Raw genomic sequence first — 13,011 nt, 5'->3', positions numbered from 1 at the left:
TGTAGGTTTTAATTCTGTTCTTACGTTTTCTGCTTCCCTGAAATCCTTCCTCGTCTCACTCCTCTCTCTTTGCTTTCTTATTCTGTTGCTTTTTCACCATACAACTTCTGGCTCCCTTTTCACAGGGGTCATGCTATGGACTGAACTGTGTCCCCATCCTCAAATTCATATGTTGAAACTCTAACTCCTAATGTGATAGCATGTGGAGATGGGGCCTTTGGGAGGTAGGCAGGGTTAGATGAGGTCATAAGGGTAGGGTCCCCACCATGGGATTAGTGCCCTTATTAGAAGAGAGGCCAGAAAGCTTGCTCTCTCTCTCTTTCACCATCATGTCCAGACATATGGTGACCATCTGCAAGCCAGGAGGAGAGCCCTCAACAGAAACCCGCCATGCTGGCACCCTGATCTCAGGCTTTCCAGCTTCCAGAACTGTAAGAGATAAATTGTTCAGACCACCCCGTCTGTAATATTTTGTTGTGGCAGCCTAAGTGGATGTGTAAGGTCATATTTTCTTACATGAGATGGAGGTTGTCAAACAGAATGGTCTTCTAGATTTTGTGGTAGATCATTTTCAGGTGTTCTCTTCTCTGAGTCTCTTAAATTCTCTTTTTCTTGTTATGTGGAATTTACATAGTTCTCTCTTTTTTTTTTTTTTAACTATTCAAGTGACTCTTCCTTATTCAGGCATAAAAATCAAGTAACCCATACATGACTCCAGACTTACTCTGTTTCAACAGACCACACAAATGAGTTTTCCTTGATTCTCCCTCTGCCCATTATCATGGAAGTAATTCTTGGATATGCAGATGAAGAGCGAGTTAACCCACAAGGCTTCTTGGACCAACTCTCTCTTTTCTAGCAGGATTCTCTGCTCTGTCATTGCCTGGGCTTCTTCCAACCTAAGTACCTAATTCTCTAATGTGCTCAGCTGATGCTGATGTGAAAGGTGTACTTCCCAGCACTCACTCCTGCCAGGGTGTTTCTTCTTCCTCTGACTACAGAGCTTTACTTGGGCAATCAGTCCCTTCAGAACACGTGTGCCTCTACTGGCTAATCGTTTTTCGCGTTCTGTGGCATTGGCCTGCTTATACGTAGCAGGAGCCGAAGAAGCAACGTTTTTGTCTCACAAGGCAGCTCCTGAGTGGCAGCAAGGGATGGTCTCACACCACACCAGCAATCTCAGCTCCATTCAGTCCAGCTGGGAGCACGCTGGCAGCCAGACCCAGTCTGATATTCTCAATGCAATTCTACACTCCTAATAATTTGATTAATTCCTCCCAGGTCCTGGCGTTGGCTGTCTGTCAGACTTAGTTACAGATACAGAGAACACACTTCATCTTGTTCTGCATCTTCCTGGGTAATTAAAGGTACCACTTATTTAATGCTTTGCATGCATGTGTAAGGACTATGCTAATTCTTTTACAAATATAATCTCATCTAAGCCCCATGACAATCCTGAAAGGTGAGTTTTATTGTCATCAGCCCATTTAGAGGTAGAGAAACTATGGATTAGACAGATTAGAAAACTGGTAGGACATCATGCAGCTATTAAGTGTCGAGCTGGGAGTCCTATTTCGGTTGGCTCTAAAACTCTTGCCCTTGACTCTTTCTCAGTAACAGGTCTCCCTACACCTTGGATATGAGCCAGGTGCTTGGTGAGACATTTTGTGTGTGTGTGCTCCAACAGCACTGGAAAATTCAGAGATGTGCTTGTCCGCAACTTATGGGATACTCACAAGGGGTAGGGAGCTAGTAAGCTGGTGACAACAGCATTCAAACCTAAGCCTGTCTGATTTCAAAGCCCATCTTCCTAAGGAAAATGACACGGTTGGAAGAGCAGCAGTACACTGGGACCACTGCCAGATCCTAGATAGATACTCAACGGGGAGGTCACAGATCCTCTGTTCCTGTCCTATATCTGCCTATGAATGTCTGTCATAGTCACCAAACTATGAATTCTTTGGAATTATTTTTTGAGATGGAGTCTTGCTCTGTCACCAGGCTGGAGTGCAGTGGTGCAATCTCGGCTCACTGCAAGCTCTACCTCCTGGGTTCAAGCGATTCTCCTGCCTCAGCCTCCCAAGTAGCTGGGACTACAGGCACATGCCACCACGCCCGGCTAATTTTTGTATTTTAGTGGAGATGGGGTTTCACCATGTTGGCCAGGATGGTCTCAATCTCCTGACCTTGTGATCCACCCGTCTCGGCCTCCCAAAGTGCTAGGATTACAGGCGAGAGCCACCACGCCCAGCCTGAATTCTTTGAATGCTGCAAATATGCCTGATTCACATCTGTGTTTCCCCTGTACCGTCTAACTTCTCGTATTTGAGCACTGAGGGTTTCATCATATTCTTCATCTTTTTTTTTTTTTTTTTTGAGACAGAGTCTCACTCTTGTCACCCAGGCTGGAGTGCAGTGGCACAATCTCAGCTCAATGCAACCTCCACCTCCCGGGTTCAAGTGATTCTCCTGCCTCAGCATCCCAAGTAGCTGGGGCTATAGGTGTGCGTCACCACACCTGGCTAATTTTAGTAGTGACGGGGTTTCGCCATATTGGCCAGGCTGGTCTTGAACTCCTGACCTCAGGTGATCCGCCCATCTTGGCCTCCCAAAGTGCTGGGATTACAGGTGTGAGCCACCGTGCCCGGCCATATTCTTCATCTTTAAGATGATTTTTATGCTCCTGCTTATCGAGTGTTTACTATGCATGTGACAGCACTGTGCTGACCACTTTATAGACATTATCTCATCTTCAGTTTCCTGAATGCTTTCAGAAGAGTTAAGAAGAAAGCAAAGAATCATCCCATGACCACAGACAAGGGATGAGGAAGAAAAAGCATTTGGGGGAGGGGGAGGGAACCCACCCAACCCCTTCCAAGAGCTGGGATCGAGCTCTGCCCTGAGGAACGTATCCAACTTAGTGTTTCAGCTCCTCTGATTTTCCTTCACTCAGATATCCTCATCTGCTTGTTCTGTTTTTGTGTATATTTTTACAAGCTGCCTTAGATCCTTATTGGAAGGAAGCAGAGACCATAAAGGTCTCTTCTTGCTGGGTAGTAAGTGAGGTACAGAAAACAGAGAGATAAATAGCAGGTATGGCAATTCCTGAACAGCTGGAAAGGACAAGTCTCACTCACTTGTGGTCCCACGGCACCTGCCCTGGGCTGGCCACCCAGCCCCTCCCAATCTATCTTCCTCCCAGCAGCAAAATGGGGCTTCCTAAAATGCAAATTGGATCAAGTCCCTTCTCCACTTAGTAAAAACTCTCTGGCTCATTCTCCTGAGGATGCTGCCTGCTGGCATTCAAGGCTCTGTAAGACCTGAAGCCATCATCGATTTTCGGGACCAGCAGGGCTCTCCAGCCTTGGCATGGGATGCTGGGGCTCATCCCCTACCCTCGTCCCCATCTGAAAGCTTCCAGCATTCCCTCAGGCCTCCCACAGCTCCCTGCAAGCTATGTTGGAACTATCTGTTCAATGATCTGCTGTCCCCACCCCCAAGCCCCATCTGAATTACCCAAGGGCAGGACCACATGTGTCCTGTTCTCAGCTGTGTGCCCACAACACTCAATACAAGTTTATCAAAAACAGGCCAGACGTGTGTGGCTCCTGCCCTCAAGGGGTGTCCTGGGACAGAGACAGAGAGTCTGCCTGTGGCTGCCCTGGACAGCTCATTCACTGATAGGCCCCTTCAGGTGACTACGACGTGTTATTTTCCGAGCACCTACTATGTACCAGGCACTGTGCTAACAAGTGGTTCACATCCAGGATCTCATTTAATCCCCCAACAAACCTGTGGGGAAATGTCATCCTCACTCCACAGGTGGGGAGGCTGAGGTTCAGGATGGCTAACAGACCATGAGGACACCAAGCCTGTAAGCAGTAGCGCCAGGACTCAGCCCCAGCCTGGCTGCCTTCACTGTCCTGACCTTGACCCTGTGCTGCCCTGCTGCTCCTCGAAAGCTCCAGTCCTAACACTGACTGGCCCAACTGACAGGTTGGGCACCATTGCTGCAGTTAAGTGATGCCACCCACTGCTACCCCTGCCCTAGCAGTGAGACTGAGCCCTGCCTCCCTTGGCCAGCCCCCACCCAGCCCTTGGCCCCAGAGGGAATCCCGCATACTTGGCCCGATTTTCTGGAATGGCTCCGGGGGCTCCTCCTTCACCTCGTCCGTGGCCACGACACCTTGGTCGAAGGGGTCTGTGGGAGAACACACGGCCCTTAGCACCCTGGTCCCCCAGGTCTCAGGAGCCCAGCCGGGGACAGGGGAGGTGACAAGCAGACACCAAGGACTTACCTGCCCGGTTCTCAGGGGCCCCTTCCACACTAAACACTGCGCCCGGGCAGGAGGCGGCAGCCGCAGAAGGAAAGAAACAAACAGGAGCCCTGTTAGTCCCTGCCCAGAGCTGCCTCTGCCACTGCTCCCAGCCCCTATCCCCATGGGTTTGCCTTGGGGCCCAGGAGGGCTGCCGTGGCCACTGTGGAAGCCCCCCAAAACCAGGACAACACGAGGATACATCCCAACCAGGACACAGCCTGGGCCTCAATCCCTCGTCCTCACTAGGATGGGCACCCATCCATGGTACAGGCAGACAGTTTGCCTGGATCTGTTTCTGATTGCCATCATGGGTTCAAGGGGCCAGGGCAGGAGAAAAGAGGAAGAGATTGGGAGGAGAGAGAAAGACGAGGTGAGAAAAGAGATGGGCCAGTGGTAACAGGTGGTGGGCCTGGTTGTCACAGCTCAAGATGGGCTGAAGGTGTGGGGCTAGACGGGGAACCCCTAAGGCCCTTCCAAGGTCTAAGACCCTCTTTCTAGGATTTTTGAGACTCAAATATGTGTTGGCTAAATGTATTATTCTAATTTCTAATTGTATAATCTAAGATGCTAAAAGGCCATCATTCGTTTTTTAAAACCGGTTTAATTTAATCAGAACATGCAAATGCTCAATATGAAACTACAAAATGACTCGATACGAAATTCCAATATTCTACTGATTTTGACCTATAAAAATGGCAATTTCACTTGGGTTAACCTAAATAGAAGTGTATGTGGAGTATGATGGTGACGTTCCCGCCCCCAGAATCCTCCAGGGCTGGTCATTCCCCTCATGGTTCCAGCTACTGCCTGGCCTTTTTCTGGGTAAGAGGGAGGAGGGAGGCGGGGAGGGCTGGGGGCTGGTGTCTCCAAGGAAGGGCGCCTCTTGGCATGACTCCAGGGAGTGAGGGGCCTGACTCACCATCCACTGCGTGCAGGTCTCGGTGCTCTTGGAAACAGCTGTAGTATTTGTACTTCTTCCCGCAGATATCACATGTGTACCTGAAATTGTCTGCATGGGATGAAAACACACACCTGGTTACCAGGGCTTCAGTCTTGTGGGGTGGGGTTTTTCTGGCCAGATCATCTCAGAAACCAAAGATGAAACTAGCCCAGTCTGGCTAGCGGAGGGAGGAAGCAGTCTCTCATTTTACACATGAGGAAACTGAGGATCAGAAGGGATTTGCCCCAAGGGCACAGCCGGGAGGGCCGGTGATGAGCAGCCTTGGGGACAGCACCCAGGGCTCCTTGCCTCTTGATGCTCATGCCCTACATCACCCCTTCCCTGTGAGTCTGGACTAGACCTGGTAACTGACTTCTAATGAACAGAATGCAGTAAAAGTGACAGAATATCACTTCTGAGGGTAGCTTACAAAAGACTGGGACTTCTGTCTCAAGCATACCTTCTCTGTCCAGGTCACACCTGCTGGCTGCTGGGTTGTGAGCTGCCCCATGAGAGACACAGGTGACCAGGAGCTGAGGGTGGCCTCTGGTGAACAGCCAGTGAGGCCTTCAGTCTAAGAGTGTGGGAAGGACAGAACCCTAGCAGGGTTGTTAAACCTGCTAGCAACCACATGAGTGAGTTTAAAAGCAGTTCTTTCCCCAGTTGAGCCTTGAGATGAGACCACAGCCCTGGCCAAGTCCATGCCTGCAGCCAGGGAAAGACCCAGCGCCAAAGGACCCAGCAAAGCCATATCCAAATTCTTGACCCTAGAAACTGAGGGATAATCAATGCTTGTTGCTTCCAGTCATTAAGTTTTAGGGACATCTGTTACACAGCAATAGGTAACTAACATGAGGTTGGAGTTTGGATGATCCCCTGGGTCTACCCAACATCTGAGGCTGAGGCTGGACACAGGACATTACCCCCTCCACAATGGCACACTCTAACGTTTGCACTGGCACGAACCTCATGTGTGTGTTCCTTGGGCTGATGTAGGGAGGGCCTATCAATCCCATCACCCCAGGCACAGGGAGGCTTGGTGATATGCTCAAGGCTGCCCGGTGTGGGGAGGGGAAGGGAGAGCTAGGATTCAAACATTCACTAACTCCAAGCTAAGGCTGAGTCAGGGCATGTGGCCCTTCTCTGTCTGAATAAGCTGCAAATCAGTACTGGGTTGGGGTACCTCTCTCCTGGTCCCCCTCCTGTCCCTCAGAACCCAAATACAGGATCTGATGCAATCCTCTACCACAAGGTTACGCTGCCAGGTAATTCCGTGGGAAGGTTTCTGGCCCCACCTTCTGAACTTAGGGACACAAATGGCATTAGCCACCTCTCCCTCCCACCACCAGCTTCACCTCTTCGTATTCTCTGAAAATGCCTTAGCAGGTGCCAGAGCCCCAGACACAAACTGGTCCCTGAGCAAGGAGCCACAGGTTCCTTGGAGACATTCTGAGGATGCTGGATACCAGAATCATCCAAGAAAGAGGTGGCAAGGTGTGGGGCAGGAGAGGCTGGTCCTGCTTCCTTGTTTTCCCCCATAATTTGGGGAGCTGGGAAAGGGATGTAGATGAGCTGATTCCTGGGGCCTCTCCCAGGATGGTGGTTCTAGGATTCTGTGCCTGGCCCAGGCTTTAATCCTTTCATGTAGCCAGCAATCAACTTAGACAACTTCCCCATCAGGTCCCGTCCAGACCATGGTCCCCAGTGTCTCTTTTGCAACCCTGCCTTCTGTGCAGGACACCTGCCCAGGAACAGAGACAGAGAAGTCAAGGCCACCTGGGGTCTGGTTCCAGACTGGGCTCTGCCTTGACATTCCTCTCCTAAGCTGACCACTGCTACCCGCCATCTGCCGCCACCTGCCCACTTGCTTGTCTCTACCCAGCCTCCCTGGCCAGCTGGGCCTGACCCCTCACTTCAGGGCCACATCTGTTACCTCCAATAAAACGTGAGCCCCCAGGTTTCTGCTGCTGAGAATACCCCCACCCTGCTCTGACACCGTGACATCTCTTTGACATGGATGGGGAGCCCGCTCCCAGGTCTTCGTCAGTCAGGAAATGATTAGGCCAAGAGGGTTATCCCCAAAAAGGAGAGCAGAATCATTTTTTTGTCAGTGAAAGCACGTTTTCAGAACCGCTGCATTTTCAGACACGAGAGCTCGGTGTCTCTTAGATGCCACTGTGAATCCGTTCAGGGAGGCAGGCTCTGGATTCATGCTGCCTAATCAAACCCAACTCTACCAGGTATAAGTGCGGCAGACCTCAGACATGCTGCCTAACCTCTGCACCTCGGTTTCCTCATCTGTAAAATGGGAATGAGAGGTTCTTCATTTCCTATAGTTATAATAAAGAATAAAGGAACACAAGGGACATCCAATAAATACTTGCCAAATGTAACCTAATACTGTCACAAATATCAATGTGACAGTAGCATGAGGGGCTAATCTTTTATTCCTTAGTGGACAGATGGATGAGTGAATATGTCTGTCTGCTTCTATGTATGACTGTACTATTTTCCTAATAAATAAATGAAAAGTCCTAGAACTGTTAATAGAATGTGTGAGACCTCATTTCATTTCTAGGCCCGCCTCCACTACTCACAACCTGTATGACTCCCTGTCCTCATCTGCAAAATGGGTGGGCTGGACTCAGTCTTCTCAGTTGGGCCCTTTTGGCTCCATGACTCCATGGCCAGGCTTCTGTAAGTGGAGGCCAGGCGTTCTAAGCAGGTGCTGCCAGTCTGGGTCAGGGCAGGGCTGCAGGACTGAGAATAAAATAGCGCGCAATGGCCGCAGGGAGGAAACTCCACAGGGAGGAAGGGAAAAGTGACGGAAGGACTAAAAATACCCCCGCTACAGAGCCGTCAGCAACCAGCAAGCCCGCGGACAACGGAAGCCAGACGGAACACAACAGATCATTGAGGGGCTGCTGGAGAGGCCAGGGGCCCAGAATAGCTGAGGAAGGAAAGATAAATAGGGAAGTTCTTTAAATGTGTGGCTGACCGCAGCCAGTCCATGGGAGCCGGAAAAGAATGGAACTATTGAAGGAGATGGGAGCCAAGGACCAGGCTGAGGCTGGGGCTGGGGCAGGAAAGGCGGGGCTGGAGGGGGAGGGCCCAGCTCCCACCTCCTCCCAGCTGGGGTCCTGTGGCAGGTGTCTAGCTGACCTGGGCCTCAGATTTCTCTCTGGAACATGCCGGCCTCTCCTTTGGCATAAGAATCCAAACGGAGTGGATGAGAAAGTGTCTTAGAAGAAATGCTACTGGGACCCAGGCCAGTTACAATCCTTTTTCAGCCATCGCCATCTCTTCAAACTGCTCTGGTTTGGGGTTTTGTTGGGCAGGGGGTGGTAATGTTTATTTATTATGTTAAGAATCTTTTTTTGTGATGGTGTGGTGTAACAAACCCATAGAACGGGGATTGGCAAGCAACAGTCTGTGGGCCAAATCCTGCCCACCATCTGTTTTGGTAAGGAATTCATTTACATATTATCTCTGTTCCTGGCATGTTCCCACTACAAGGGCAGGGCTGAATACTTGCGACGGAGACGTCTGGGCTATAAAGTCTAAAATACTTACCATCTGGCCCTCTGCAGAAAAATGTTGCTAACCCCTGGTGTAGAACAGTGTACAAATCCTAAGTGCACAGCTTGTTCAACTTCCACAAACTGAAACCACCCAGGTAACCAGCACCCAGCTCAAGAAACAGAACCCTGAAGCCCCTTCCCCAGGGGAACCGCTCTTCTGACTTCTACCGGCAATAATTAGTTTTAGCTGCTTTTGCCCTTTCTCTATGCAGAATCTTAGAGGCTGAACTCTGTTTACGCCTGGCCTCTTTTGCTCACCATTGTTTGTGAGTCATCCATGTTGCTGTGTGTAGCTATAAATTGTTCGTTCTCACTACTTTACAGTAGTCTTTTGTGTCACTAGACTTACTTCTCCATTCAATGAGCTCTGGGCATTTGGGGGCTTCTAGTTTGTTAGGAATGGTGTGCTAAGGACATTCTAGTTTGCATCTTGCAGCAGATATACACCCGTTTCTGTTGGCGACATACCTACACGTGGAACTGTGACTTCTGAAGCTTCAGATTATTGGGTGGGGAGATTCCATCCTAGTCTACACCAGCTTGGCTGCTCACTTACCAGGCGCTTGGGGCCTAGAACTGGAGGGATGGCAAGCAGGGCCTGTGAGCAGCAGTGCTGTCGCAGATGTCAAGGCCCTGTGCCGCCCCAGGTGCTGGGATATGGCACCTCAGGGCAAATCACCAATAAGCAATTAGTGCCCCTGGCTGTGGGGGCTCAGGAGAAAACTCTCCAAAGCAGCATTTCCCAAAAGTCAACTACGGAGCCCCAGAGTCATGAGTCAGAGTCAAAAGAACACAAGGACCCGCATATCCAGGGCACCCATGGGAGATGCACAGCTGTGTCTGTCAATGAAGGGCTGGAAATGTCCACAAGAAACCTGCTCCCCTTAGTGAAACTCAAGGTCTCCCAAAGTTACTTGGCCAGAGAAGTCGTCATGGACAGAACACCCACTAACCTTCCCAGAATGAGCCTGCCATGGAGCACGCTTTGGGAAGGGCTGCTCTGAGGTACCGCATTGCGGTTTTGTAAGGATGGTCTGGCCCCCAAGCTTGGACCCCAGCACTGTGTCTCTCAGAGGCCACCTGGAGCAGTTCTGGGGGAGGGGACAAGCAGCTCCTCTTCATCCCACCCCAAGCCCTCGCCCCTCAGCAGCCCACGAGGAGGAAAAAGTACTCACTGCTTTGGGAGGCTCCCTCCCCTGAGGTGGCTTCGGTGTCTGCAAAGAGAGAGAGAGAGGGATGGGGGTGGGGCTACCGGGCCAATGACAGGGCCAGTGCCAAGTGCAAAAGAGAACATGGAAGCCACAGGGGAAGAGCTCACAGTCCCGCACCGGGCCCCTGATGCCAGCCTCTCCTCCCTGTCTGCCAGGCTCCGGGAGGAACAGACGCCATCCCTCCTGTCTGCAACTCCCAAGCTTGTCATGAGGAACACACACACTGACCTCAGCAAGTGCCCTGTGGGGGCCACTGACACTGAGCAGTGATGAGATGTCCTGGGAGGCGTGAGGCCAGTGGGGAGCAGGGGGTGCCCTTGGGCGCAGGTCTGGTGTGTCCTGCAGAGTCCCCCTCCCACACCTGAGCTGTCCCGCATCAGGAGGCCTCCCTTCTCCTGCCTGGCACCCTGTCCTACTGATGAAAGTAGGAGGAGAATGGGAAAGGCTGGAGCTGTCAGGGCCTCTGGGGTCACCCACGAGGGGCCCAAGTGGGAAACAGGCAGACAGTGGGAGGTGCGGCCCCTGGGCTCTGCCCCAGGGACACTCCTCTCACCTCGGTGCGCCCGCACGTGGGTCTGGAAGCAGTTGTAATACTTGTACTTCTTGCCACAGATTCCGCATTCGTAAGACCCTGGAAAACAGAAGAGGAAAGGACTGGTCACCCAACCTCTGTGACCACAAGGTCCCAGGACCCACAGGCGATGCCTACAAGTGTGGCTAACTCTCTGTCCCAGGGGCAGAGATGGTCCCTGGCAAGGAGGCAGCACCGAGCTAGAAGTCACGAGGCCTGGGTCTAGATCCAGGTTTGCCCTCCACTCTGTGGGTGACCTTGGGCAAGGCACCCCCCCATCTCTGGGCCTCAGTTTCCAAATCTGTAAGATGGAGAAGGTAACTTCTTCAGCTAATTCTCAGCCCTACACCTTGAGGGGAAAAAGGAAATGAATGTTAAAAGTGCTCTGAAAGGAATAAATTGCATCCACATAAGGAAATCATTACTTCAACGCATTACAATAATTTCTAGCAACCCCTTTTCCTTGCCGGAATGGGACAGAGATTAAGACAGACAGACTGAATCAGACACACCTGGGTCCCTGTCCCTGTTCTGTCACTTACCAGCAGCATGACCTTGGTAATTTCCTTAGATGCATGAAGCCTCAGTCTGCTGATCTGCAGAATGGGACCACATGCACCTACCTCGTAGGGGTGGCCATATACTCCCTGTAGGAAGTGCCCAGCCCTACTCTAGACAGGCTCAGCAAGGAGAGGACCGCCCCCCACACCTGCTGAGGAGTTGTCTTGTTCCCTCAGACACACAGAGACCGACATGGTGTAAATGCCTGGCCCCCCCAGCCCCTTGCCAGGCCCTTCTCCCAGGAGCAGGGAGACTGAAATGGCCAAGCTCCTAGTGAGCACTGCAGAGAGGTTAAAAGATGAGCCTGCCCATGTAGAGGTCAGAGCAAAGGCCCATGGTAGGAAGCCAAGAAGAGCCCCTCAGATCCAGCCTGGCAGGGACCCCAGGGGCAGAAACCCTGCCTGCTCCCCATCTAAATCAGCCCTCATGAAGGCCTGATGCCACCTGGGCCCAGGCCTTGCTCTTCCTAACAGAATAGCCAGGGAGCGTGGACAAATGCAGAGGCCCCGGCCCACTCCAGGCTTAGCGATCTAGAGTGGCTGGGGTGGAGACCTGCCTATTCCAAGGTCCCCAGGGAATTCTGGTGCCCAGCATCTGGGGATGGGAGAGGCAGACCTGGGATAAGAGTCTTAACTCTGTCATTTACTGGCTGGGCCTCAATTTCCTCCTGGGAAAAATGCGGATGACTCAAGTGTGTTGGTGTGAAGACTGAGTTTGCATGAAGAGTGTTCCCAGCACAAGACCAGCCCCTCCGTGCAGGTGAAGATCATTAACTCCTACTCCCTTTGTCTTGCCTGGAAGCAGAGGCCCGTTTCCTGAGTGTGTACCTGAGGCATGAAGTGAAGCTGGAAGAGCACTGGATATGGAGTCTGAAGCCTAGTTCAGCTCTGCTATCCCTTAGCTCAGGGGGGTCCAACCTTTTGGTTTTCCTGGGTCACACTGGAAGAAGAATTGTCTTGGGCCACACATAAAATACACTAACGATGGCTAATGAGCTAAAAAAAAAATCACAAAAAGACTTACAATGTTTTAAGAAAATTTATGACTTTGTGTTGGGCCGCATTCAAAGCCATCCTGGTCCACATGCGGTCACGGGCCGTGGGCTGGACAAGTTTGTCTTATCTGTTTGATCTCGGACACATCCTTTTTTTGATCTCGGACACAACCTTTCACTTGTCCGAGCCTCTGTTTCCCCACCTGCAAAACCGGACTCTGATTCCTACAATTCATGACTGAGGTCTGTATCAACGAGGTTCATCATGTGAGTCGGCTGGCACACCACAGGTACTGAGGAACAGGAGCCGGTGCCACTGGTACTACTGTGGGTCACTCCAAGGGCCGCTGTCATCCTAACACCAGCGTGGGATTTAGGAGTCTGTTATTTAGTGGTTTGTATGTGTATTACCCTTGTCACACAGGGAAAAATACAATCACGTGGAGGACAAAGATGAGATTGCATATTTCTTTGTATTTAGCCCTGTGATTGGCACACAGCGAGGGCTCCATAAATCCATGGTGTCTTGCTGTTGTACTCATCTGTCACTGAGTAATAATGCCTCCAACTCTCTTCCTGCTGCCTCCACCCACTCTTCAGCAGTTTCTGCCAATTCCCCTTCAACCAGTGAAGAATTTACGAGTGCCTGCAATGTGCCGGGCACTGAGGCCCCAGCAATGAGCAAGGTGTGCTCCCTGTCCTCCATCTAATAGGAAGCAGACAGGCCAGCTGGCACAGGGACAACGCACGATGATGGCGTTAGGGCAGCAAGTGCAGGGCCTGGGGGCACAGAGGCAGGACCCTGGCCCAACTGCAGTGGGGGGCCCAAGTCAG

The 13,011-nt window shown here is 51.4% G+C and overlaps 1 protein-coding gene across 50 annotated transcripts in view, besides 2 other annotated features; it reads right to left on the bottom strand.

Annotated features, from left to right (window-relative positions):
- The window catches only part of ZNF618 (zinc finger protein 618), a 180,285-nt gene that overhangs the window by 43,916 nt on the left and 123,358 nt on the right, over positions 1–13,011 (bottom strand). For 31 of the 50 annotated variants that reach the window (XM_005251692.4, XM_017014242.3, XM_017014241.3 and 28 more), the window contains 5 exons: positions 10,605–10,682; positions 10,016–10,054; positions 5,239–5,328; positions 4,299–4,334; positions 4,124–4,201 (listed from right to left, as the gene is read on the bottom strand). In XM_005251692.4, the coding sequence (XP_005251749.1) occupies positions 4,124–4,201; positions 4,299–4,334; positions 5,239–5,328; positions 10,016–10,054; positions 10,605–10,682 (321 nt within the window). The remainder of the gene's footprint in view (positions 1–4,123; positions 4,202–4,298; positions 4,335–5,238; positions 5,329–10,015; positions 10,055–10,604; positions 10,683–13,011) is intronic. The other 19 variants (XM_011518200.3, XM_047422718.1, XM_047422719.1 and 16 more) reach the window with 1 other exon arrangement.
- Positions 4,154–4,654: an enhancer, noted in NCBI's record as "H3K4me1 hESC enhancer chr9:116770304-116770804 (GRCh37/hg19 assembly coordinates)". NCBI's record gives its function as "activates a minimal SCP1, AML or CMV promoter by ChIP-STARR-seq in naive H9 embryonic stem cells {active_cell/tissue: H9 hESC(naive)}" and the evidence as "EXISTENCE:reporter gene assay evidence [ECO:0000049][PMID:30033119]".
- Positions 6,064–6,563: an enhancer, noted in NCBI's record as "H3K27ac hESC enhancer chr9:116768395-116768894 (GRCh37/hg19 assembly coordinates)". NCBI's record gives its function as "activates a minimal SCP1, AML or CMV promoter by ChIP-STARR-seq in primed H9 embryonic stem cells {active_cell/tissue: H9 hESC(primed)}" and the evidence as "EXISTENCE:reporter gene assay evidence [ECO:0000049][PMID:30033119]".

This window comes from Homo sapiens, chromosome 9 (genome assembly GCF_000001405.40).
Source record: "Homo sapiens chromosome 9, GRCh38.p14 Primary Assembly".
NCBI lineage: Eukaryota > Metazoa > Chordata > Mammalia > Primates > Hominidae > Homo > Homo sapiens.
Note: the sequence above shows the minus strand (reverse complement) of the source record. Positions and strands in the feature narration are given on the sequence as shown.